The sequence below is a fragment of the Homo sapiens genome, chromosome 8 (genome assembly GCF_000001405.40).
Source record: "Homo sapiens chromosome 8, GRCh38.p14 Primary Assembly".
Lineage (NCBI taxonomy): Eukaryota > Metazoa > Chordata > Mammalia > Primates > Hominidae > Homo > Homo sapiens.
This window is the reverse complement of record NC_000008.11, coordinates 130,342,423-130,368,510: the sequence shown is the minus strand read 5'-3', so window position 1 is coordinate 130,368,510 and position 26,088 is coordinate 130,342,423. Positions and strand designations below refer to the sequence as shown.

The window sequence follows — 26,088 nt, the reverse complement described above, 5'->3', positions numbered from 1 at the left end:
AAGTAGAGACATGACTGACAGTCTAGAAAATTACCTGGAGTCAGGGAGGAGTAGTTCCTACAAGAAGGGGATGTAGGAGAGACAGACAATGTAGTCAGTATGCTAAAAGTCTGTCTGAACTGCTGATAATTTCAAGATGTTAAAATTAGTTGGGAGTAAGTGAAAGTTAATTCTTAAACCCAAACATCGGGAGAAAAGTAGTTTATTCACACAAAACCCCCCATGATATTGAAAATAATATTCATGAAAATAATATGATATTGAAAATAAGTTCTCTGCTGTCTATGTAAATATAGCAATTTTATAAATTTGTTTGTATAATGCCTCTCAACCTCTAAGGCCAGAGCAAAAAACCTAATTTTTTAAAAACAAAAAACCAGAAAATATTAGGGAACAGAAGCTGGATGCTGTCTCAGAAGGTTTGCTAGCAATTGTAGAGACTTGTTTTTTTTTCTGAATTAGAGCCCCTAGTGTGATTCAAATGCTCACACTTGAAAAAGGACGTTAACTAAATAGCATATGTTAAGAAGAAAACTCTGCAGTGGGCGGGCAGTTTTCCTGTTTCAAGTGGAGCAATGCCCTACATTTGACATGGTTATGGAAAAATCCTGTTATGATACAGCTCATTGTTATGTGGGTTCAAATACATTGCAGGCGAAATCATATTTTTGAAAAGCAACAAGAGAATACTGTGACAGATTCATGTAATATAGGGTATCTTTAACGGGGGCCCCAACCCAGACGGAAGACCTCCAGACAGTTCTTAGCGTTTTGAAGCAGAGCTGGGGACCTCTTTGTGTTTGGAGTTGGTAGTCACACTGATGTCAAAAAAGCATTTATTGAGCTATAGGATGCCATTGCCAAGGGACCTCTGAGAGCCTGTGCCCCAAGGTGCTGATTTTAACCACAAGGAAAATGAGGCCGAGGGAGGTGAAATTATTTGGCTGAGGAAAAGGAGCCTACCTCCCTGGCATTCCATGTCACAAACATCTTGGTGCAAAAGTCACAAATAGCTACCATTTATCAAATGTTTCTTTTGGAGTAGTATTTCAGAGCCTCAGTGGCTTTGAAAAGTGCTCATAAAAATAGATCTAGCTGGGCTGTGGGCAAATCAGAGAGAGAGCGTTACATCAAATTACTTTTACTTGGACTTTACATTCATTGGTCACTTTTAAAATACACCTTTATTTTCTGTTTGAATTATTTGAATATTCCATCACTTGTGCTGAAAACCAGTATCTCTGCCTACATATGAGCTCCTTGATGACAGAGGTTGTCTCTTATGTTTTAAAATTTATTTTTGGCTCTTAAAGTATCTAGCGGCCGGGTGTGGTGGCTCACACCTGTAATCCCAGCACTTTGGGAGGCCGAGACAGGCAGATCATGAGGTCAAGAGATCGAGACCATCCTGGCCAGCATGGTGAAACCCCGTCTCTACTAAAAATACAAAAATTAGCTGGGTGTGGTGGCGCACACCTGTGGTCTCAGCTTCTCAGGAGGCTGAGGTAGGAGAATCGCTTGAACCTGGGAGGTGGAGGTTGCAGTGAGCCGGGATTGTGCCACTGCACTCCAGCCTGGGGTGACAGAGAAAGACTCTGTCTCAAAAAAAAAAAAAAAAAAAAAAGGAATCTAGCATAGTACCTGTTTAGAATGCAAATAGTGGTATTAGTAGCTAATGTTTATTGATCACTTACTATATACCAGGCACTGTGCTAAGCATTTGCACAGATTATCTCATTTCAATCTTACCACAACCTTGAGAGAGAGGGCTTATCATCATCTTCCTTTTAACAATAAAGTAATTTAAATTAAATAACTTGCCTAAGGTAACAAATCCTGTTAAATGGCAGCACTGAGATTGAACCCCAGGTAATCTGAATCCAGATCGCACACTCTTAGCCCCTAGAAAGGTTATAAAGCTGCTTAATAACTGTTTGTGGATTAGAACTGAACTGACTGGTTCCCTCCTAATACCTCTGTACCCAGGGGAAAATGTTGTCAGAGACTCAGGAGGCAATGATCTCATCTCTGAAAATGACCAAGGGAGGAGGAACTGTGTCAATCACAATAGGCAACTGGACTTGAGAAAAGGAGAAATTTGACCTACACTCTGCATGTGCTGGGAAGCTTCTCTGGGTAAAGGGTGGGTGGCTTAGAAAAACAGTACAACTAGGTGAGTACTGTGGGGCACAGTCCTCTTGCCCCAAATTAGGAGTGTCAGTTAAGTGATGGTGTGCCAAACTTTATACTGTTACAATTTTTAAATAGTAGGCAATTGTGCATAGGCATTCCTTGATTCTGTGATGCAAAGACAACATAATCTGTTGTAGACGGGAGTTTCTGAAGGTCTTTAATCCTATCCTTGAAATATAACTGGGAAAGGTGGAGTGGGAAACCCTTGGGAACCAGGATACTTGGCATTTGGCTCAGTTCCCACAAATCTGTCAGGGAACACTGGGCAAGTCACCTAACTGCTTGGGAATCAGTTTCCTTATCCAAAAAATGAAAAGTTTGGAAAGCATGTTATCCTTAAAATTCTCGCTGGCTCTTATGGCTTATAGTGATGTAAAATAATGACAGCGACTCTAAAAACCGGGATCACTTCTGTGGATCTTACTCTCTTCTGGATCTCTCCATTTCTCCTCTCTCAATTCCTCTCATACCCTTCCCCCTATAAATGTTTGTTCATTCATTCATTCAGTCTTCCTTCTATTCAGTAAGTATCTCTTAAACACTTGGCACTTTGGGGCCATAATAGCAAATAGAAACCCTCCCTGGTCTTAGGTAGGTCACAGTCTAGTTGGATAAATATAAATATTTGGAAAATGGTACCCTGGAAAATGATACCATTGAAAAGGGCCATAAAAGAGGAACGTTCTCATTCTTGATATAGCACAGAAGTTGGGCATCATTAAAGGTGATGAACTCAACTTAAATTCATCAAAGAAACCTGGGTGTATTGTAAGTTTTTCTCATTTTTCAGGTTAATGTGACTTTATCAGAAATAAGCAAGATTTTAAATCCCTCGTTCCTATAGATCGCAAGTTTTTAGGACTCCCATAAAACACCATGATTTTTTTCTTCATTGGAGGTTGTTTTACTTGTATTAGAAATGATGTAGCTCATAAAAGGGAGCCAGTTCAATTCAAAACACATTTATGGGGGCCCACAAGGGACCCCAACTAGGCAGTGCTTTCCTAGAGAAGAAAAAGCCTACAGGGTTTGGATTCAGACTGACTGAATAGCATTTTTCCACTTATTAACTGTTAACCTTGAGCAAATTGTGCTTATCTCTGAGTTCTCTTGCAGAAAACACACTACCTCACTAGGTTACTAGGAAGATTTCAGGAGATGGTGCTTGTAAAAGGCCAAGCCTGGGGCTCCAGGAATCTTCTGTCCTTGCTTTAGTTGCTGGGGGATGTAGGTGATACAGACATGGGTAGGATTTAGTCCCTGAATGCTGTCAGGGATTGATAGTCTGGGACTTTGCGGTATAGGATACTCACTTGGAAGATACAAGGTGTTTGTTTGTTTGGCATTTGTTTTTTGTGTTTTATTTTATTTATTTATTTTTTGAGACTGGATTGCTCTGTTGTCCAGGCTGGAGTGCTGAGGTGCAGTGGTGCAATCATAGCTCACGGCAGCCTCAAACTCCTGAGCCCAAGTGAGAGATGAGTCAGAGCCAAGCCCTTCTGCTAACAGAGCTATTTGTTGCTGAGGAAGTTCTCAGTTTCTCCTCTGAATGGTGCCAATATCCTCCAGTTGCTTAAGGCAGAGTGAGAGAAGCTGACTGTGGATACCCACATGAAGATTAATCCCACCTGGAGGAATGGGGCAAGGAGCTGCTCTCTAGACCAGTCAAGCTTGCATTTGAATTGGGCTTGTAATGAGTTCCCCAGAAGGAAAACACACGCACATATACCCCAACAGAAAAAGCATCCTGGGGCTGTGGACTCATCCATTGTCTTTGATAAGCCAACAGAGCATGGTGGCTGATCACATGGGCTATGAAATCAGATTGCTTGAGTCCTGCTCCACTACTTGACAGGTAACCTCTAAGCTTCAGGTTTCCCATGCATATAACATGGGGAATAATACAGTACCTGCTTTATATTGTTGCTGCAAGTATTAAGTGAGGTTGCGCCTGCAATGACTCAGGATAATACAGGGCGCATAATACTAAGCACAATTATTCTTTCATAGGACTAAACAGAAATACATCCCTGAGTTCATTCAGTTGATATTTATGCTACATTTCTTCTAGGTTCCCACCATTCTGCCTCTTTTCTTCCTACTTCCATCAGAGGAACAGGGAGGTAGAACCAGAGTAGTTTTTTGTCTCCAAACAAACCATGTTCTTCTCTTTACTGAGAAAACTCTAGTGGTTTTGCTTGGAGTATTTAAATTGAATTAAGTACATTTGGGACTAGAATTGGCTTTTTTTAATTATTATTATTACCTGAAATTGCACGAGTGCAATTGGGAAGCACTCATACAAAGAACATGAAAAAAGCAGTTTATGTAGACTATGGGAACATGAGCCTAAGTGTAAAAGATGGAATCAAGTACAGCCCCCTCCCTCCATCCTGCTCCTTCAGCACTTTCCTTTCCTCCACCACTTCATTAAGTTGGTAGAAAATGAATTCATAAGTTGTCAGGTGAAATACAGATACTTCCTTTGGTTGCCTGGGCTGGGAAAAATACTGTATCTAACAAAGTAGCCCTATACAGAATACAGTAAAGAGACCAATTTTGCAGGCAGCAGAAAAAGCATTGGATTTAGAGTCTGCCAGGCTCAGGGACATTAACTTGCAGTGAGATTTTATTGTGTCTCAGTTTCCATTATTGTAATACTTGCATCTCAGGACTGTTATATGAATGAATTCAGACATTACATATATAACCACCAATGCAGTACCTGACTCCAGATGGAAACTGAGAAAGTCATATTCTATACCCCAGCAGCCTTAGGTTTCTCTGGTAAGTTTGGGATAAATATACTTACTTTATAAAGTTGTCATGAGGCTTAAAGAAGGATAAATGTATTCTAAATTCTATACTTAGCAAAGTGTCTGGTACGTAGCAGGTCATGGTGAATATTTTGTTTTTGCAAGAATATCAGAATTTATTTTATTTTTTATTAAAAAAAATGAGATGCAGTCTCGCCATGTTGTCCAGACTGCTCTCAAACTCCTGGGCTCAAGCAGTCCTCCCACCTCAGCCTCCCAAGTAGTTGGGATGACAGGTGTGTGTCACTGCACCCGGCAAGAATATCATAAGTTATATCTCCAGATAAGGTTTTCAAAGTTCCCATAATATCGGAAAAATAATTGTCTACTTAGGATGTCTGAGACCCTGCTAAGCACTTTATATACCTTAGCTCGTTGAATTCTCAGAACACTGAGATAGGGGTTGTCATTGCCCCCATTTTATAGATATGAAAACTGAGACTCAGAGAGGAGAAATACTTTAACAAGGTCTAGTAGCTTCTTCATGGCAGAGACGGGAGCCTATCTTTTTTATGTGAGAATCAGCCCATAATTCATGCTCCTGCAAAAGAAATGCCCCATGCTATCATCCCCTAGAAGTTGTTTTGCTCAGATTATCCTTCTTTACAGGGACTATGTTGCATGAAAATAGGCTATTTTATTTTATTTTAGTGAGTTGGTCTTAACTTACTTCTCATCTTGATTGGTATGCAGCCAGTTTGACTCTAGATACTATTTATTTACCTCCAAAATCCAAGCCATCACTAATGCATCTGACCTAACAAAGGATACTTTGAAAATAAGCGAGGTCTCTGAAGACTGTTTATTCCCAAATCTGAGATCCCAGACTTCGGGAATTACTGTGCAGCCTTCCCCGCTCCCTCTTTTTTCCTCCTCCTAGTGACTAATTTAGAGATATCTGAGTCGTGGAATGAAAGCAGATGTATTTATAGTCATCTTTCACAGAAAAGGGGAGTTCAAAGGGAATTCACATTGGTTGATTATTCACTATGCATCAGCCTACTTATCCATATTTTCTCATTTTATTTCACACAATAATCTGAAACATAGTTTAGAAAAGAAGGTGAATAAACAAGAAAGTAGAGTTTTAAGCTCAGGTCCATGTAATAAAAAGTGTGTTCCCTTCCCACTTTAGCCATTGTCGTCATTCCATGAGGGCATCGGGAGCCTGTGATGAATGCTGTCGCTGGCTAACACTGTGGATCAAAGCTCCTTGTGGTTTCTTGGGCCCACAGAGCACCTCTGACTCCCCACCCACACTCCCCCACCTCTGGTTTCTGGTCAGTCATCTTGCAAATGCATCCCCCCTTGGTTATAAGACAGATGGATGAGAGTGAGGTCTGCAACTGGAAATGTAACTGAGAGCCAATTCCCTGATGGCAAGTGGGTCGTTAGCGCCATTGCTGTTCAGAAGAATAAGCCACCACTGTTCCTGCTGCCTTTTTTTCAAGGCGACAAAGTGCATCCTGCCATAATCATGGTGTTAGAAACCTCAGTCAGCAGTGCTCAGAGTAAGAGGCAGGCATGAGGAGGACAAGAGTGCTGAACAGTCTTATTATAATGGCGACAACAGAGATGATGCTTGCTTTATATAAAGCCAGGTGCACACAAATATGTGTGTGCGCACATTTTTCCTGGCTTTGGGGAGGATGGTGTATATTTCGGGGCAGCTCCACACAAAGAAATCCAGCATTTACGTTTTGCCCATGTCAGTCTCTATTTGCTTTCAGATATCCAGGAATGATTTTCAGAGTATTTGAGAAAATGAGAGGTGCAGATGGTTTTCACTGAGGCATGGTTTCAAATTTAAAGAGGATTATGGCCCAGAAATGGTGAGTAGAGGTGTGAACCTTTGAAATTGTAATTGCAGACCAGTCTGAGGAGGTATATACTTACCAAAGCACAATATCTCATTGTGAGCATATTCCTTTCTTGGCCAAAGGAGATGGGGGAGGAGCAGATACATAACATAATCTTCAAATGAAACTGAAACAGCAATTGATGGCAGCAGTTTGGAGTCTTTGGTGAATTCAGTCAAGAAAGAAATCCCCAGCTGTCTACCATTGCAGTTAGCTTAGCTTGTTGTAATAATCTTTCTTCTTTGCATCTCCAGAGCTGACTGTATACACAAGTCGGCTCCTGCTGGGAGGAATCTGTGGTCATTTTGACACACTCACTCCTTTATTTTACAAAGGATAGCACTAAGGCCCAAGATGACAGCATCAGTTACTAGGAGGGAAAACTCTGGAACCCAGGGCCTCTTGGAATTGAGGCAATTAAACACTGACTTTTGGCTTTTAATAACAGCTCATATTTATTGAGTCTTTACTATAATGCCAGATGAAGAAGATGGAAGGAACCACCACCTCAGTGGAGGTGACAGGTGCTAGACGACTACCTGGAATAGATGGGAGAACAAAATAAATGCAAGAATCCAAGTCTGAAATTGTTTCCAGCCTAGAGGAAGGAAGGCCTTCTTGGAGTGAAGCCTAAGTGCCGTGTGTTGTCAGTGCTCCATGGGGTAACTGAGTCTCAGAGAGCTTAATTAGCTCAACTAGCATGGGCCATATTTGTTCCAAGTCACAGAATTTTCCAGATGCAGAGTGACTTGGTTAGTATGTGGGGAAGGATGGTAGGATTTTCTCCTGGGTAGCTCATACTTCAAAAGACCATGTTCTGTCAACTATGGCACATGAGCAAGTGACCTCCAGGTATGGATCTTCAGCTGTCTGCTATCATCATCTGGCTGTCTCCTCTGAACTTCAAACTTGGTGTGTCCCAAACCAAGCTTTTAAAGTGCTAATGAGGACAAAGTGGGTGCCTGTTTATTTATTTACTAATTTTTTAAAGAATGTGTTTTGAAGTTGACTTCTCAACTTCCCTTTGCCAGGGAAGAATATTTATTTATGGACATTCCCCTTACAAAATTTCCCTTTAATTAGCTGGAACCCTTGTTAGCTGAAGCATGGCCTCTTAGAGGACATTGATGAGCATCTCGCTGGAGGCACAGTGCAGGTTCAGTACAGCCAATAGAGGGAGGTGAACATCTCACACTTTTCTAATGGCTTTCCTGTGCACAAAGCACTTTCTCTTCCATCATCAGTGAACTCAACATAACAGCCAGGTCCTGGGGTTGGTGTCCTTATCTTTTGCTTTCATGTGAGGCAGCTGAGGGCCCAAGATGCCATAGACAACAGGATTATCTGGGTGACTTACTCTTGTCATTCTTTTCTCAAGATGTCACCTTGTCAGCAAAGCCTTCTCTGCAGATTCTTTATACTATAGCGACTCCTTCACTTTCTTACTTTATATTTACTCCACTTTATGTATTTGTGAGTTGTCTAGTTCTGTCCTAGAAGGTAAGCTTCATGAGAGCAGGGGCCTTGGCATTACTCAATCTCCAGGGCACATAGTGCTTAGTAAATATTTGAGAGTTAATGAGGTGCTGTATTTTGACAGCCACTCTGCTACTTCTGTGTAGCAGGCCCAAGGCTAAGACAAGATCCCTGCTTTGGGGCACTCCCTTGTAGTCAGGGGTAAGAACCAGAGAACGGATGTGAGGCTTAACAGTGCAAGATGGGCCGGGCGCGGTGGCTCACGCCTGTAATCCCAGCACTTTGGGAGGCCGAGGCGGGTGGATCATGAGGTCAGGAGATCGAGACCATCCTGGCTAACAAGGTAAAACACCGTCTCTACTAAAAATACAAAAAATTAGCCGGGCGCGGTGGCGGGCGCCTGTAGTCCCAGCTACTCGGGAGGCTGAGGCAGGAGAATGGCGTGAACCCGGGAAGCGGAGCTTGCAGTGAGCCGAGATTGCGCCACTGCAGTCCGCAGTCCGGCCTGGGCGACAGAGCGAGACTCCGTCTCAAAAAAAAAAAAAAAACAGTGCAAGATGGCAGAAGCCCAATCCCGGGGGTGAGGGGTAGGGCGCGGTGGGTGTGTGTCGCAGAGGACAGGCTCAGCCTTCCATCCTAAGGCTATCAAAGGCTCTCCTGGCTTGAATTACAGGTACCAATCCTGTGGCCCTTCCCAAAGGCCTAGCTTTTTTTTTCTTCTTCTTCTTCTTTTAAACCAAATTCATACTCAGCGAATGGTGAGAAATTAAATGGATTCTTCGGACTAAGTAGATTGAGCTAGTTTTAAAATTAGCCATCTGTCAAGGCCGAGGAGTGAGGTGGTACTTTTTCCACCGAAATTTGGCATCTGCTTAGCATCGAACACCATTTGCAGCTCGGGCAATGCCTTTTACATTCCCTGACCCTCGGCTTTCCTGCAAGTTAAAAAAAAAAGTGCAAATGAAAGATTAGAAAATTATTTTTTTTAAAAGCCCCCAAACCCTTCATTCGTCTTCACGCTGCATTGTAGCGACCTAAGGCAACTGCACAAAACCAGCCTGTAAGCGGTGAGGAGCACCCTGCAGAGAGATGGGGCGAGCGGGCAGCTGCAAGCCCGGGCCCCGGGAGGCCGCCCCTGCGCCCAGCGCTTCCTTCGCGGGGTCGGCGGCCCTCGCAGTAGAAGGCGGCTCTCCCGGGGCCTCACTTCCTGCACCCACACGCGACTAAAAAAGAACACGTACAACTTTTTTGGGCCCCCTTCTTGCAAAACGCTCGCGCAACGAGCTCGCTGAAGTAACCGCTCCGGGGGCGAACCAGGGACTCGGGCTTCCGGAGCCCCCGTGCCGCGCAGCCGGGGTCGGGAGCGGCAGCTTCGGAGCCAGGCCCCAGGGGCTGTGCGCGAGCGGGGGCGGGGCGGGGCGGGGGCCGGGCCGGGGGCGGGGCGCGGGCGGGGAGGGACCGGGGGGGCGGGGCTGGGGGCGGCGCGCGTGCGCAGAGCACTTCCTTGTTTGGCCCCGTGACTGCAGCGCGAGCGCCGCCCGCCCGCCCGCCCGCCGCGGGAGTGTGCGCTCAGTCAGTCAGGCCCGCGCCGCCGCCTGTCAGCGCGTCTGAGGAGGCAGCGCCGGGCGCCCCAGCCGCCCAGCCCGCGCACGCCCCAGCGGCCGGCCGGAGCCCAGACCCCCGCGAAGACCCCGCGCGCAGCCGCGTCCCCTCCCCCGCCGCTGAGGAGCTGCCGCCGCCGGCATGAGCAGAGGGAGGCGGGTCCCGGAGAGCCCCCTGCCTCGCGCGCGGCTTGGAGTTTGAAGGGCCCCGCGCCGAGCCCCGCCAGCGCCGCCGCCGCCTGCCTTCGCCCGCCTCCTTCCCTCCCTCTCGCCGCTGCCGGGGACGGGAGCCGCGCGCCAGGCCGGGCGGCGGGTGGCGGGCTGCGCGCCGGGGTTCATGAGCCTCCGGGCGGCCCGCGGCCCCGGGAGCCTGCGCCGTGACTCACCCCCCGCCCCCGCTTGTGTCTCGTCCCTCCCGGCAGGATGCCGGACCAGATCTCTGTCTCGGAGTTCATCGCCGAGACCACCGAGGACTACAACTCGCCCACCACGTCCAGCTTCACCACGCGGCTGCACAACTGCAGGAACACCGTCACGCTGCTGGAGGAGGTAGGTCGGGCCGGGACCCCCGCCGTCCACGCTCGCCGCTGCCGCCGCGCAGCTGGAGGATCTCCTCTCCGAGCTGGGAGGAAGGGGACGCGGGGGCCGGGGGCGCCACACCCCCTCAGGGAGCCGCCGGGTGAATAAGGGACTTCGGACGGGCGGCGCCTTCCCCATCTCCTCGCCCTTTCTGGGTCTTGCGGGTTGAAAGGCCTGGGGACTGGAGGTGGGAGAGGACTGAGCGAGCTGTGGACACTCCAGGGAGGACAGAAGATGGAAGTCCTGTCCCTGGCATGCACTGTTCGGCGCTTCCACATCTTCGTGACCCTCCTGTAACCCTCGAGGTAGGTGGCGTCAGGCCACCGAGGGCCCAGAGGCGAAGTAGTGCAGCCAAGGTCACCAGCAAGGGACTAGGAGATGGGCAGTGAACGCACCCCTCAGCGGCCCGACTGGACCAGGCAGGCGTAGCTGCGGAGACGAGGGCCGTTGGAAAAATCCCAGAGGACCCAGAGAGAACTCAGGCTGGGACTGTATCCACTCCAGGAGTCCTCCCTGTTAGTCTCTGGTGCCTGAAGCCCAGATGGAAAGAGATCTGTGCACATAGGTTTCCACCCGGCTTCCCTAACCCGGAGGGTTTGGTAGGGCTTAGGGCTGCTGCGCCAGCAGGACCTGCCCGCAGGGCACTCCGAGGCTGGACAAGGAGATCGGAGGCCGGTGCAGCCTGCTTGAGCTGACCAGACACGGAGAAGGGAGGCCCGAGGCGACAGTCAGACAGCTCCTCTTACCTGGACCCTTCAGGAAAGCGTTGCTGGTGGGGGGTGGGGGGCAGGGCCAAGGCCAAATCGATTTTCTTTAGGATTTTCAGTGAGTTAATGAGAGAGTGGTATGGGCAAAGAGGAACCTGAAAGCCAAGGAGCAGCAGAAGCCTCTGGGGCCACGATAAAAATAGGATATTTGCCCAGGAACTCAGCATCATCAATAAGTGCCATAAAGCATCCCTCCCCTTCAAACAAGGCAAACGTATTTCAACTGAAAATGGCACCATTGGGTGGAAAGTAGGAAGGGAGATGGTTTTCCCTGGGTGGGTTATGCTGTGGCTGGTTTAGGTGAGGTTTGGGGAGCTCTTTCTGATGTAAGCCCCCCACCCCAAGGACGGACCTCTGTAATATGGGGAAGCTTGGGCTTCTGTGGGCCGACTCATCTTGAAATGAGCTTTGATACTCATGTTTCCACACACGTAGAACTGGGATTCAGAAGTAGAGGGATCCCAAATTTTAGGAGGAGAGAGACTTCTGTTAGTGCTGGGTCCCATCTGGCCTGCTTGGTGCTATGACTGAATGTGTCATTCCGGCATACTTCCAGAGTTCTCTCTGGAGTCAGTATTGGGTGATGGGACTGAATTGTGAAGTGAATGGAGAAATACCACCTAACTAGGTTTGTTTGAAAACCAGAGGTAAATGGATTTTTTCTTTTCTTTTTTCTTTTTTTTTGTCTTTGTGAACTGCCAGTCTGTTATACTCGTCTGGGATTAAACAGAATTGCCAGGCATTGAACCCCATCATGGGTCTGTCTTTCACTTAATTGTAATAAATTGAAACATGTTGATACAGGAGCATTTTGCATCCCCTTTCTGTACTAATTGTATATACTTCTAAGGATGTGACATTGATTAGACTGAGTGGTTATTTTCCTTCTAGATAAGTTTTTCAGTGCCTCCTAATAGAGCTGCCAGTTATTTTAACGTTCTCTTCCTGCACATTTAGATAGTGTTGCTGTATTCTGTTTGTGAAGGGTGTGATAAGATTAAGTATTCGGTGATGCTGTTTGTAGAGGTATGCGAGCATATTTTCCAGCAACCCTGTAGTAGAGGGTTAATGTTAAATTACATGCAGTTGCTGTTGATGTTAGTTTAAGGTTAATAAATTTAAAAGCAAATATTTTTTTTTATGAGAAATACTGTTGTAAGATTAGGTAGAAAAATAGAGTTAACTATAATGCAAGTGTAGTCACTTAGGAACTTGGAACCAGGCTAGAAGTTCAGTGTCATGTTAGAGTACATTGATGATACCCATGTTCTCAAAAATATAGCAATGTTTCAGGATGGCACAATAATTTTACAATTTTTATTCTGAACTTGAGGAAGGTATTGGCCAGGAAAACATTGTCTCCGGTCGGCATATTTTAATTCTTGAGGTTGCACTCTCTTGAGTGGTTACTTTTTGCATAGATGTGAAAAGTATGCTTTAGGTTTTTTTACTGAAGGATAGCCACCATAGTTGAATTTTAATTTTTCCCCCATGCTTACATATGTGGAAGTAGTGCATTATTATAAATATCTTAGGTGGGTCACAATTCAGTTCTTTAAAAATATGGGACTTAACATTACCACACTCAATATAAGAAAAAATTTGGGGGCATACCACAAAATCTTGTTGGCATATGCTTCACAACTGAGATATTTGGAAACTTTAAGAATGTGGCTTGTGTTATTTTGTGGTTATTCTTAGGAAGAGAACTTTTGGGTACTTTTTGGTGATATGGAAACTCCGGAATAGGAATTAATTTGGGTAACTTGGAATTCTCATTTAAAAAAAACATTTTCCTAGTTCTAGTAAGTACCTTCCTGTTGATGACCTTTTTTTGCTCTTTAGATCACTAATGCACATACATAGAGCGCAACTGAAAAACTGTTAGATCTCCAAGATTGGAGCCCCAAATTAATCCATACTCTTTCTTTTACTATGTCTCCTTGGTAGAGATTGTGGTGTGTTGTGCAGATGTTGATGCTTTTAGTTAAATCTCTGTGATGAGCACTCTTGGAAGTAGATGAGAAATATATGGTAAGAAGGCTGGGCGTGGTGGGTCATACCTGTAATCCCAGCACTTTGGGAGGCTGAGGCAGGTGGATCACTTGAGGTCAGGAGTTCGAGACCAGCCTGGCCAAGATAGGGAAACCCCATCTCTACTAAAAAATTAGCCAGGCATGATGGCGCATGCCTGTAGTCGCAGCTTCTTGGGAGGCTGAGGCAGGAGAATCATATGAACCCGGGAGGCCGAGGTTACAATGAGCCAAGATCGCACCACTGCACACCAGGTTAGGCGACAGAGTGAGGCTACGTCTCAAAAATGGTAAGAAGAGGCAAAGAGGAGTTTACTTCTGGTTTACTTCTGGGCTTTACCTTTTGGGGCGAAGGGTCACACATGGCTCAGGGGTTCACGGTTTGGCTGGCACACAATGAGTGGCTACCTTGGGGAGGCAGGAATGGATGAGCTGGTGTTCTGCCAAGGTTTCATCCTGGCGTGTGAGTGTTTTCCAAGCAAAAAGCCAGTGTTTTACTTATTCAGCAGTGAAAGCACACTGATGTGTGCCATTTTACTCTTGACAATTTTTAAGTTATGAGTAAGTGACTAGGAGAGCATAAGCGTTTTCCCTAAACGGGAGCAGGCAGGCATTTTAGGACTGCTGTGACCCAGACAGTAGAAGGGACCCTCTATTTAAAGACTTAGAGTGGCTAATACTTAGTACCTTTGTCAGAGAGAGAGTCCAACATGATAAATGGAAGTCTACTTGGTTATTTTATATTGGGCCACATTTTAATTTGGTGACAATGAAGGAGGCAAGTTCTGCTCATTTATTGAGCAGCTGCTCCATACCAGGCCTGCTGTCGACACATGGCATGAATGCTTACATTTACCTCTCATATGAGCTCTCTGAAAGAGGAACATTTATCGTTTCCATTTTATAGAGAAGGAAATTGAGGCCCAGAGAGATGAAATGATTTCTCTCTAAGGTCAAGTGGCTAGTAAATAAAATGGAATTTAAAAATCTCCCTCCCGGCTGGGCGCGGTGGCTCAGGCCTGTAATCCCAGCACTTTGGGAGGCCGAGGTGGGCAGAACACGAGGCCAGGAGATCGAGACCATCCTGGCTAACACAGTGAAACCCCATCTCTACTAAAAATACAAAAAAAAATTAGCTGGGCGTGTTGTCAGGCGCCTTGTAGTCCCAGCTACTTAGGAGGCTGAGGCAGGAGAATGGCATGAACCCGGGAGACGGAGCTTGCAGTGAGCCAGGATCACGCCACTGCACTCCAGCCTGGGCGACAGAGCAAGACTCCGTCTCAAAAAAAAAAAATCTCACTCCCTTCTCTCCGTGAAACAGGCTCTCTCACTCTGTCGCCGAGGCTGCAGTGCAGTGGTGCGATCTCAGCTCACTGCAACCTCTGCCTCCCAGGTTCAAGCAATTCTCTCACCTCTGCCTCCTGGGGCAGCTGGGACTACAGGTGCACACCGCCATGCCTGGCTAATTTTTGTATTTCTAATAGAGACGCAGTTTCATCATGTTGGCCAGGCTGGTCTCAAACTCCCGACCTCAAGTGATCTGCCTGCCTTAGCCTTCCAAAGTGCTGGGATTACAGGCATGAGCCACCACGCCTGGCCCAGAGTTTAGAAATCTTAAAACAGTTGAGACATAAAATAGGTATTCTAAATGTCTACAAAAACATATTTCAGTGGCTTTATAGGGAACATAGGAGACTTTGCTGTCATTGCACCTTCAAGTTTTGGTCTGATTAAAAAAGGTGCCTAAGTTCCTTGGAGGCTTAGTGTTTCTTCATGTTTATATTTCAGAGTTCTTAATAGTGATACTTAAATATACTATTTTTTCCCTGTACTTTCGAAGATTTGGATATGAGTTTTCAGATTTAAATGTGGGAACTCATTTGAGTATAATCCGTGAACAGCATTTGTTCAACACATTTTTGGGGAGGCCCTGCTATATACAAGTCATTTTCCAAGTCCTACTGAGGTATTGGGGTTATCCAGATTGTATTATGGAGAAGCTAGTGGTCTTTAAGAAATAAAGAAATAAGGCTAAAACTCTTTAACAGGGTAGAAAGGGGCAGTTCATAGGGGAGGGAAATAGTATAGAACATTCATCCTAGGAATACAAGTGAAATCACTCAAATTACCATGTAGTCAATATACAGATTGTTCAGTGCCTCCTATGTGCCCAGCAGTGTGCTAGGCCCAGGGATACAATGAAGAAGAACCCTGCCCTCAAAAAATGCAGCCTAAAAGTTTTCTTATGGAAACTGGAAATCAAGTTTGGGTCTGGCATTAGAGGCTTTTCTTAATGTATTCACCTGGTGTGTTCAGTTATTTCTGAAGATATAGAAATGTTTGATGAAATGAATGAAGATACAGAATGTAGATTCAGTATCAAGCTCTATCTCATAACAGTAACATTCCTACTACATGCAAACCCTATACATACTATTATTTAATACCTTTTTTCACCCTACTATCATCAATGGCTCCATTTTATAGATGAAGAAATTCAGGATTACAGCAGTTAAGTATTTTGTCCAGCTAGGTCGTACAGCCAGTAAGTATTCTGCCCAGGTCATACAACCAGTATCAGATTTGTGATTAATCGCATTACTGTCAAGTCCTCATGCAGGCCAGTCAGACTTCTGTGTGTGTTCCCTCACCTTCCATTTAAGTTTCAGCCTTTATCTATGTCCTTTTGGGTGTCTGCCATGCTGATGATAGAGCTCATCAGTCTTTGATAAATACTGTTAGGTCCTTAAGTGATTTTCTGTGAAATCTTACGCATAGGATTTCTGTGGTCAGGGTTTGACGTCTGATCTTGTTCGTCAGCTCCCCTTGCTCAAGAATGCAAGTGCATTACCTCTTAAATTTTAAAAGCTGGTAAACTTAATAGGAAGTGCTTCTTTATATTGCAGGTGCTAAACTTAAGGAGCCCATTAATTACCCCCAAGGAGATTGTAGTCTTAAAAAAAAAAAAAAAAAACCCTTAGGAAGGATTTAGCTAAAATCAAGATTTATACTTTTGCTTAATGTAGAGAAAGTATGTTTGGGTCTGTCTCTGACCTCTTGAAGATAATACAACAAAAGGCAAACAAACCTTCCCATAATGTTTCTCTCCCACACACAAGTCAAGGCTCTGTGCCCAGGCTTTTGACCCAGTCTGGAGGTACTTAGGATGAGGTTTTGTCTGGATGAAACCAGCAAAGGTCAGTGAGTGAATATATCTGTCTGTAGAATCAAAGGGAGAAGGAAATTGTATATGTTGGAACTCATGCTCTTTCTAAAACAAGGCACAAGCCTGTTAGCCAGATATTCCATGCTAATGCTTTTGGTCCTGATATGGTTTGGATTTTTGTCCCCTCCAAATCTCAAGTTGAAACATAGTCCCCAGTGTCGGAGGTGGGGCTTGGTGGGATGTGATTGGATCGTGGGGGCGGATGCCTCATGAATGGTTTAGCATCATCATCCCCTTGGTGATAAGTGAGTTCTTGCTCAATTAGTTCTCTTGAGATCCAGTGTTTTAAAAGTTTGGGTCTCCACTTTTCTCTCTCTCTCGCCCCTGCTTTCGCCATGTGATGTGCCTGCTCCCACTTCTCCTCCTGCCATGACTAAACACTCCCTGAGGCATCCGCAGAAGCCAAGCAGATACCAGCGCCATGCTTGTACAGCCTGCAGAATTTCCTTTCTTTATAAATTACCCAGTCTCAGATATTCCTTTATAACAACACAAGAACTGCCTAACACACCTTATATATATATCTTTGGATTTAAAAAAAACATTTTTTACACCTATCATCTAATAAAAGCTTATTCTAGTAGCATTCTTATTATTGCTTTACATATGAATACATAAAGGCTCACAGACATTAAATAACTTGTCCAAGATCACACAGTGGTAAATGGTAGACTTGGGCTCTGAATGCAGAATCTGCATTGAAAACCCATTCCGTTTCTTCTGTATTTCACTGTCTTTTATGCTTCCTGTCTGCCAGTTTGTTTTGTCTTGCAGGACCCGTGAGAAAGGCATCTATTAATTATCTTTTTACCTCTATTTGGTTTCTAGTGCTAGAGAGAAAGAGTTTGGGAGAGGGAAGAAAAATGAAAAGATAGTTGCTTTTCTCTGTTCTTCTGAGACCTCTTGCTGGACCCCTCAGTAAATCTCTGCCTTTTGTGATCAAAGACAGTGCTGCAAGCAATCCTCCTTGGACTGGGCAGATGTGAAAATGACCCTGTTGCTTCCAGCTCCACCCTGGCATGCTTAGTCTGGGACTGTTGACCCAACCTGATTTGCCTATGAGCTGCCCAGAGCCCTGGCTAAAGAACCACTACTCTCAGTTGCAGTTTCTTCAGGGCTGTCTGGCTGTCTGCTTCCAGCTTCCTGGCTGTACAAGAGCCCTGAGTTTTTGCTGGGTGTTAGTTATTCAGGGAATTGCCAAGTGTCCAAGTAAAAGCGACCTTGGAGAATATCTACTCTGGCGTTTGCCAACCTGAAAGCCTGATCTCCAAAAGGCTCATGAAAGCTGTGATGGGGGTCTGTAGCCACTTTGTGGAAAAATTAGTGGACACTGCTAGTAACTTAGTTTGGCATAACTCTCATGCCAAATGTGTTTGATTTTGGCTGAAATGCATCAGCTCAGTGGTGTAGGACGAATCATCTTCTGCTGATCAGATGCTTGGATTGCCAGTTATAAAGTGGGAAAGCAAAGTGTTACCTCATTGAGGTGATTGGCTTCCTAGAAGGGCTTTGTATCTCCACGGGAGGAACCTCATGAATGATGGGACCCACCAGATCTAGTTTAGTCCTCATTGCTTTGAGAGGTGGAGACTGAGGCCCAAAGATGAGACAGAAACCATGCAGGGATTTGAATTCAGGGCTGCCCAACCCAGGGATTTTTGCACTCTGCTGTTTAACAGGGTTGTGGGGACTGGCAATTCACAGTCTGGGAGTCCTCCCCAGTACCACTCCATGTAACTTGCTTCTAGGTGGAAAGAGTGGAGAGTAAACCTTAAGTTTGGAACTGGATCTTGCTAGCCCAGTCTGCTGTCATTAAGTCCTGGTCTCAGAAGACACACTGTGCGAGGCCGCAGTAGCTTTCCCTGATGTTAGGCTAGCAGCCTTTCATTAGAAGCCATTTGTGGTGTTGGATGTTCAAACACTACCCAGACCTTTGCCTTCATTGTCTGTTTGTCCAGGGAGCCTCAGAGAGATGGTTTCCATATATGTAACCTAGTCATTTGGGGACTAAAACCAGATCTGGGTCTTGGCCATTCCCACATGTATTACTTAAACATGAGTAAGGTTTGGGGCTACACTTCATGTCTAAGCCTCTGTTTCCCCATTTGATAAATAAATGACATTGCTTTTTGAGTATTAAAGGAGGCAATGCATGGGAGGCACTCATCAAATGACTTTATGTGTCAGTAAAGTATGTCCCTATGGGTGTCAAGGTCTGACTACTCAGCTCTCCTGTGAGGCAGGGAAGAAGGGGAGGCAAATGAGGCTAGAAGCATTCCTTCATGGAGAGTTAGATAGGTAGGACTGCTCTCTACTGAGGACCAGTGGCAACACTTGGGTTGAGGAGGGTGAAATTCTCTTGCCAAGGTTAATTGTATCCCTATTACTTCTAGCGTGTGTTGGGCAAGTTACTGAGCCTTACTGTGTCCTACTTTCCTCATGGGGATAAGTACCTACCTCTCAGTGAGTCAGTATCTGTAAAGTGCTTACAACAGTGCCTGGTGTGCTAAGTGCTCTATAAATGATTGTTCTTATTATCCTTGTTGCTATTGCCCTGTATTATTGTATTATTGCATTAGACAATTGCATGTGTAACTGAGAAGATGAGACTTGGTAGACTCATTTCTGAAGGGTCAGTGATGAGGTCAGATGACAGAGAAATGAAGTCAGATGTGTATACTTCAGGGACCCGGACTGGGGAGGCACAGATGGGACTAAGGAGAGGACTAGGGCAACACCAAACACTTTGACCATTGTGGGTCATGGTCATAGCCAATTTGATCTGAAGCAGACTGTCAACTCAGTGTAACTGTATAATCAGCCCTTAGTGGGCTCTGTACTCTCTGAAGTAAGGGAACCAGTGACCAGTGCTGCCCACTTTGACCCAGGCCAGCCTGATGGGCTCTACCAGTGCAACCTCATTGCCCATGCTTCCTTGTGTCACTGCTATAATCTTTCTGCCTTCTTCTACACCCCACTCGTCGAGTCCTCTCCATTGGTGTGTGAAAGCTGCCCCTTCTGATTCTTGCTGGGGCTTTGGGGTAATGAGCTGTTTTCTCTGTTACATAATAAATGCAGGTATTTATTATGTACCTGCATAATTGATTGTGGTCATTTGTGGGGAGGTGAAACATTTATGCCTTGGCCCTGACTGGTACAGAGCATGGCAGCTAGGTTAGGTGCTTTACTGATTACAGTTTGAAGCACTGAGACCACAAGAAATTCTATTTTGGTTAGGAGGCAGGAGCCTTAAAGCAAAAGAGATCTCTCCTTGAATTTTCATTTCTGTGTGCTTCATAGCTTGTTTTCAGTGTCAGTAAAACGAGTTTTAATTATTTGTGGGCAGGAGTTAGGTCAAGATCAGGAGGCACTTGACTCTACTTGGTCTTAACAGAATCCAGGAGTTCACAGTAGGCTCTTTCCAGCCCACAGCCCTGTCTGAACAGCCCTCTGTCATGGTGCTGTTTGTGGTCAGTTGTGTAAGAACTGAATTTTAATGCCAAGCTATGGTATAATTTTCCCCCAAAGAACTGGAATATGTGTCCCCTTGATAAGACAGCACCTAATTTAGCCACTCAAAAGCTGGGAAAATAAAATCAGAACCTCATATGCCAAGGAGGTAAAGCCCAAAAGACGACTGCATTTTGGCACCAACTATTATAGAAAGCAGAGTTGGCTAAGTCAATCTAGGCCACCCCTTTCCCTGCCAGATGCGTTTTGGGTGGAGGAAAATGTAAGCTCTTCTTAGCTCTATTATTAAAATAGCCTGGATACCTTGCATTTCTGTAGCATTGTACCCAAAGGCTAGGGTCAGAATGGCCTTGTCTCCAGTGCCTGGTATAGCACCCAGCACGCAGTGGGCTGTAAGTATAGTGAGGACTATGTTATTATGACGCACATTCTGTAGAACTGGAAAAGGCCTCAGAGACCATCTAGTCCAACTCCTCTTTTTATGGATGAGGAAGCTGAGGCCTAGAAACCCCAAGTGTGTTAGGCTGTTTTATTGTAAGAGGTCCCTTCCCCTTCCCCAGCAAAATGAAATACATTGGTTAAAGCAAAATGGGGACTTATTGGAAGGATTCATGGGAGATATTTTATGGAACATGAGGGGCAAGAATGAGGGTCTTCTCTTTTGGGCAAATGGTAGATGAAGGCAGCTCGCACCAAATTATTCCCAGCTCCAGTGCCCTACACCACATTGGTGTCTGCCTGATTCTGAGGCGAGGATATCTGGGAAGGAGGATTGGATTGGCTCCACTTGGGTCAGGAGACCACCCTTGCTCCAGTCAGCTTTGGCCAGGATGAGGGGGTTATGTGATGGGTGGGGCTAAGTCTTCGTCTTCAGCCTGGGGGTGATGGTGGTCCTCAGAGGAGAGTAGGAGGATAGGGAAGCACACCGTTTATACCCAGATCACACAGCAAAGCTGGGACTAGATTCAGTTCTTCTGGCCTCATCTTCATTTTTCATTGACATGACAGTTAAATGTAAATGATGGTACTTCACAGCTGTTGGGAGAATCAGTAGGAATATAAGGGAGGCAGATGCCTGGCACTCAGTGACGCTTGGAAGATGTTAGTTTCTCTGCCCTTCCCTCTGCAAGTGTCACCTCCCCTTGATCCTTTCTGCTCTGTACTCATTTGGGATACTTGGAAGGACTGTGGTCAGAGCACTGTGCTGCCTAGTTTTAGCTTTGCTGATGTGGTCAGGAAAAATCAACATTCCACATAGGGTATGGCCAGAAAAGAAACATCCCATTGCCACTAAATCCAAAGTGATGGCATGGTGCTCCTTGAATAATCTTTCCGTAGATATCCAGGATGGATGGAAGACCAGGCAGGGCAACTTGGCTGTCTTCGGAAAATTTCTGGTTTAATTGGTTTTTCCTCAGTGTTAAATAACAGAGCCTGCTTAAAGGTCCAGTGAGGACTAATGGCTTTACTTCCATTGAACGGCTTCTTCACTGCCCAGTTACATACGAAATAAAATTGTCTTCATTGTTTTGAAACATGGGGAGCCTTCCTTTATGTTGCATTAATCATTTTTTATGATGCCCATTTCCTTTTCCTTGTAATGTTTATTCACATTAATAGCATTTACATAAAATTAGATACTCCTTATTTCCACAAAGTACAAATCAAAATAAGCACTCACTGCTGGCCCAGCAGCTGCTGCTGCTTTAATAATAGTAATATTTTTCATAGCAAGGCAAGTGAATACACTGCCTCCCAATAAATAAACTGGTGCCAAGTCAGTGCTGTCACATCCCAAGGCTTCTGCATTTTGTGTGTAAGAGTTTGAACAAATTCAGAATCTGCGAACATTGCTGTTAAGAACCTACTCTATGCCGGGAACTGTGCTGATTGCCCTACCCATATCGTCTCATATAATCCTCCCAACAGCCCTGTGGGGTGGGTGCTGTTTCTTCATTTCACAGATGATGAACTAGGTTTAGAAAGGATTCAACTCAATTTATGCTCTTTCTACTCAGACTCATCCTCAAGAAAAAAAATGCAGATATGCATGCAATGCTAATGAAAAAGAACAAACAGGAAATAGGCTTCTGCTGAGACATGAGATATGTAGGTTAGACTCAGAAGAACTTCCTGACAGTGTATTAAATACCAACCGGATGGCCATGGAAGTAGGATTTTTTTCTTCCTGATTTTGGGATAATTTTGTCAATGATAGGCTGGTGAGCTAAGTTGTGTTCTTATTCATGTTCACGTATGTCTTCACTTTTAGTAGATTGTAAGTACCTCAGGGACATCCCCCCTCACTTTTTAACCCTAGGTTTTTAAACTTGTTTTGTTTTTAATGTAGTTAGCATTCAGATATTTGAGTAAAATTATGAAGATTGTAGCAAAACTACATTTGATTTATAAATCTTGAAGGCAGACCTGGTAAAAAGTTTTCCAAATACGGTTAAGTCTACCTCTCTGGGCTTTATATATATGCCTACCAATTGCATAGAGCAGTTGGAAAAACCCACAGTTACTAAATTTCTTGAAGGTTGTGCTGCAGATGCTTAGCAGACCTGAATGCTAAAGCCAGATTCCTAGTCTGTCCTTTTGGTGTCTGCAACCTGCAGTCCTCTGTTGGCCTAGTAATACTAGTCACAGAGTTGGCTGTCACTTTTTGAGTACCAGCTCTGTACTGAGTACTTTTTTGTGATGTTGCCCAGGCTAGTCTTCAACTCCTGAGCTTAAGTGATTGGCCTGCCTTGGCTTTCTTGGCCTCTCAAAAGTGGTGGGATTATAGGCATGAGCCACCTGTGCCCAGCCTGTACTGAGTACTTTACATAGGCTGTTTCAAACTCTCACATTACCCTGCTAGTACCTGAGGGAGGTGGGAATCAAATCTGGGTTTGCCTGGCTCCATAGCCCCCACCTCCCCACTGCCACCCTGCCTTGCTTTGGTATTAGTGATTTAGCTGCAAAGTGCAAGTAAACGGAAGAGAATCTGGTTAGCATTTACTTTCTTGGTGGAAACAAACACACATACAGAGACACAAACAAGACATGCATCTGCCAGTGGAAAAGGAAAGCATTTTTCCCTCCTGACTTGTTTCTTTCGAGTTGACGGGGAGGCATTTAAATCTAGATAATTTACATCATGCATCTGGGGCAGCCAGTCACAATATGGTATGAAAGGGATTAATGAGAGAATTGGTATTTTCAAAAAGTATTGACCTCTCAGATTTTTCTTTATGGATGGTAAGTAGTGAATCATATGATTTTATGAGCAGTTGGTGCCCTGAGTTTACTCTCCAGCATTTCTGCGCTCTGTTATAATATATTCTCATTTCGTCCACACAACACTTTGTTAGGCAACAAAGCCACTATTTTCTCATTTGACAGATGAGGAAACGGGCTCAAAAAGTTAAAAATAATTTCTCAAAGGTCATTTGACTGAAAAAGCATGATGAGGCTTGAGTTCAGTTCTGCCAACCAGTCTCCCCCTTCACTTTGAAAGAGACAGACCTATGCTGGAGATGTTTTGTCAAGTAATTTGTAACTAAAACAATACCTTTAGGACTAAAACATACGGGTTTTATTATTGGATAATTTCATGATACTTTGCATTATTAGATTCTCCTTCCTCCCCACCTCCCCCATACCTTTTATAGTCTGTTTTGCGCTAGTAGCTCAGTCCTCCAAGTGGTTTTTTACTTTGGGCAGTTTTTCTTTGTTGTTTTTTGTTTGTTTGTTTGTTTGTTTTTTTAAGAGACGCAATCTCACCCTGCTGCCCAGGCTGGAATGCAGTGACATAATCATGCTTACTTACTGCAGGTTCTATCTCCTGGGCTCAAGTGATCTCGCTTCAGCCTCCCAAAATGTTGGGATTACAGGCATGAGCAACTGTGCCCAGCCAGTTTGCTTGCTGTTAACTTAAATTTTTGCACATGCAATAGCAGAGCGACATGTAACTATCATTCAGTTTCAACAATTGTCTGCTTTTGGCCAATCTTTTTTTCATTTCTGCCTCCTTCCCCTGATTTTTTGAAGCAATATCAGGTATTTCATTTCATCCGTAAATACTTCAGTATGTACTTCTAAAAGATAAGGACTTGAAAAAAATAAACCTGAACCATAATATGTTTTCTCGTCTGAAAAAAACACTTCCTCGGTGTCATTAAATATTCAGTCGCTGTTCAAATTTCCCTGGTTGTCTCTTTAAAAAAAAATGGTTTATTTAAACGGATCTGTATGAGATCTGTATGTTGAAATTCATGGACATATTTCAAATTTCTTTTAATCTGTGGATTCCTCCCTCTTTTTTTCATTGTAATTCATTTGCCAAAGAAAGTGGTGGTTTATCCCGTAGTTTCCCATAGTATGGATAGTGTTGACTGCAACCCTGCACTGTCATTTAACGTAAGCTACAGTCTACTCTTAACAGACTTTTGTTATTAATAATTTCCTCTTACTAAAGAATAAGAAGAACCTATTCCCTTTGTAGAAAATGAGGACAAGTATAAAAGAAGAAAATTTAAAAGTCATCCATAAGCCCACTAACCAGAGGTAGCCGCTACTGTCACTTCAAGTATTTTGCTCAGATACATCTCTGTCCTGCTTATTTTCATTTAACACATCATGAACATTTCCACTTCATTAAAAAGTCTTCAATAATATTTAAAAAGGCATGTCATTGTATTAAATGTTTCCCTCCCTCCCTTAAGTTGCTCCCAATTGTGTGTTTTGTACAGTTGGCTTAGCAGTTTCACCAAAGGGAGGACCTGTTGTTCACCTTGGAGCGGTGAATATTTGTGTATATCTGTCATATTCTGCTCTAGTGTTGATAGATTCCTAGAGTTGGAGTTAGAGGCTCAAAGGCCAGGCATATTAATAAATTTCTTATATATTTGTCATATTGCCAGCTTGTTTCACCAGAATGGTGGTCTTTGCCTTGTTCCAGCCCTGGGCAGCCTAGGAAAGTGCTTTTCTCCACAGAGGGACAGCTTTGAGGTCTCGATTTAAGTTTCTCCAAAAGAAAAAACTGGGCTCTGAATGTGCTGTTGCCCTTGTGTGTGTTGGTGCATTATAAGTTACATCAAGCGAGTAGGAGTAGTGAAGGGAAAAAGGAGTGAGTGTGGGTGTTTTCAAACTCTCTGCTTAGCAGACTGAAAGCCAGTGTCATCTCAGTGTTAGGGGGTGGTGAGTAGCTCTGCCTTATCAGCCCGTATCCGCCTTAGTAGTGACTTCTCTATCTGCCCCATACAGCCTCTTGTCTGAAATTCCTGCTTACCATGGAAATAAGTTTGTTAAGGCCTCTCTCTTGGGCTCAGAAATAAATAAATAGCATTCACTATGAAAAGGGGAAATGGTTAAAGACCAGACATGGCCAGCTTCTAGCCTGCCTGTTGCCTGACCCCAGGTAGTGCCTCCATTCTTCCTTGCCTGAACATTTTAACCTCCCATGACTAAGTCACAGGACATTTCTCCAGCTGAAAACCTTTTTGGCTTAGTAAGTATCTTTCACAGACCCAACCTGTACTGCCCCTTCGTTCACACATGGTTGTGAATTAGTTTGGTTGCTTCCCACTTAACACTTGGCAGAGAAGTAGGGTGGGAAGTATCTTGGAGAGAGGGGTAGAAGTTAGATGTGCCTGGAGGGGTGTAGGGTGGGGGGCAACCAGGTTCTTGGAGCAACTTGAGGGGAAGGAGAAGAGGAGGAGGAGAAGGTGCCAAAAGCAACTTTAACTTGTTTCTGAGAGTTGGCATCTTTTTTAAAAGTCAAGTTATATTTCACATTTTGTCCTTGAGCTGTCCTTTGGCTAGGGAACCCCATCACTTTGTCATGTGAGTTTGTTACGTTTTGTGTTTGTAACAGCCGCTTTTGTTTTTCTTAGGATGGTGCTTTCTCAGTTCCAGAAGTTTCAGAGAGGCCCTCCTCAGTGTTTGGAAATTGCTTCTGGGTATATTGGGCCTCTGCTTCCCTAGGGGGCCAAATAGCAGCTATCTGGAGCATCTTTCCCTGTGGATTTCAGCTTAGAATGGACATCTGTTAAGTCAAGGTCCACTCTTGGTAGAATGTGCT

At 44.5% G+C, this 26,088-nt stretch overlaps 1 protein-coding gene and 1 long non-coding RNA gene across 23 annotated transcripts in view, besides 7 other annotated features; one reads left to right on the top strand and one right to left on the bottom strand.

Moving 5' to 3' along the window:
• ASAP1 (ArfGAP with SH3 domain, ankyrin repeat and PH domain 1) overlaps positions 1–26,088 on the top strand; it is a 391,571-nt gene that overhangs the window by 75,164 nt on the left and 290,319 nt on the right. For 10 of the 22 annotated variants that reach the window (NM_001362926.2, NM_018482.4, NM_001362925.2 and 7 more), the window contains one exon: positions 10,368–10,494. The exons of 4 other annotated variants lie outside the window; for them this stretch is intronic. In NM_001362926.2, coding sequence (NP_001349855.1) covers positions 10,368–10,494 — 127 coding nt within the window. Of the gene's footprint in view, positions 1–6,739; positions 6,842–10,367; positions 10,495–10,568; positions 10,830–26,088 lie in introns of those variants that run through there. 8 more of the 22 variants (NM_001247996.2, XM_047421808.1, XM_047421801.1 and 5 more) reach the window with 4 other exon arrangements.
• Positions 221–720: an enhancer, noted in NCBI's record as "NANOG-H3K4me1 hESC enhancer chr8:131380037-131380536 (GRCh37/hg19 assembly coordinates)". NCBI's record gives its function as "activates a minimal SCP1, AML or CMV promoter by ChIP-STARR-seq in naive H9 embryonic stem cells {active_cell/tissue: H9 hESC(naive)}" and the evidence as "EXISTENCE:reporter gene assay evidence [ECO:0000049][PMID:30033119]".
• LOC124902026 (uncharacterized) lies at positions 6,016–9,744 on the bottom strand. The gene is made up of 2 exons (XR_007061114.1): positions 9,586–9,744; positions 6,016–9,279 (listed from the first exon to the last, which is right to left on the bottom strand). It is a non-coding gene; the product is annotated as an uncharacterized LOC124902026 (long non-coding RNA).
• Positions 9,368–9,817: a silencer, noted in NCBI's record as "silent region_19550". NCBI's record gives its function as "represses an Ori minimal core promoter by ATAC-STARR-seq in GM12878 lymphoblastoid cells {active_cell/tissue: GM12878}" and the evidence as "EXISTENCE:reporter gene assay evidence [ECO:0000049][PMID:35858748]".
• Positions 9,368–10,687: a biological region, named in NCBI's record as "H3K27ac-H3K4me1 hESC enhancer GRCh37_chr8:131370073-131371035".
• Positions 9,722–10,684: an enhancer, noted in NCBI's record as "H3K27ac-H3K4me1 hESC enhancer chr8:131370073-131371035 (GRCh37/hg19 assembly coordinates)". NCBI's record gives its function as "activates a minimal SCP1, AML or CMV promoter by ChIP-STARR-seq in naive H9 embryonic stem cells {active_cell/tissue: H9 hESC(naive)}" and the evidence as "EXISTENCE:reporter gene assay evidence [ECO:0000049][PMID:30033119]".
• Positions 9,848–10,327: a silencer, noted in NCBI's record as "silent region_19549". NCBI's record gives its function as "represses an Ori minimal core promoter by ATAC-STARR-seq in GM12878 lymphoblastoid cells {active_cell/tissue: GM12878}" and the evidence as "EXISTENCE:reporter gene assay evidence [ECO:0000049][PMID:35858748]".
• Positions 10,528–10,597: a silencer, noted in NCBI's record as "silent region_19548". NCBI's record gives its function as "represses an Ori minimal core promoter by ATAC-STARR-seq in GM12878 lymphoblastoid cells {active_cell/tissue: GM12878}" and the evidence as "EXISTENCE:reporter gene assay evidence [ECO:0000049][PMID:35858748]".
• Positions 10,618–10,687: a silencer, noted in NCBI's record as "silent region_19547". NCBI's record gives its function as "represses an Ori minimal core promoter by ATAC-STARR-seq in GM12878 lymphoblastoid cells {active_cell/tissue: GM12878}" and the evidence as "EXISTENCE:reporter gene assay evidence [ECO:0000049][PMID:35858748]".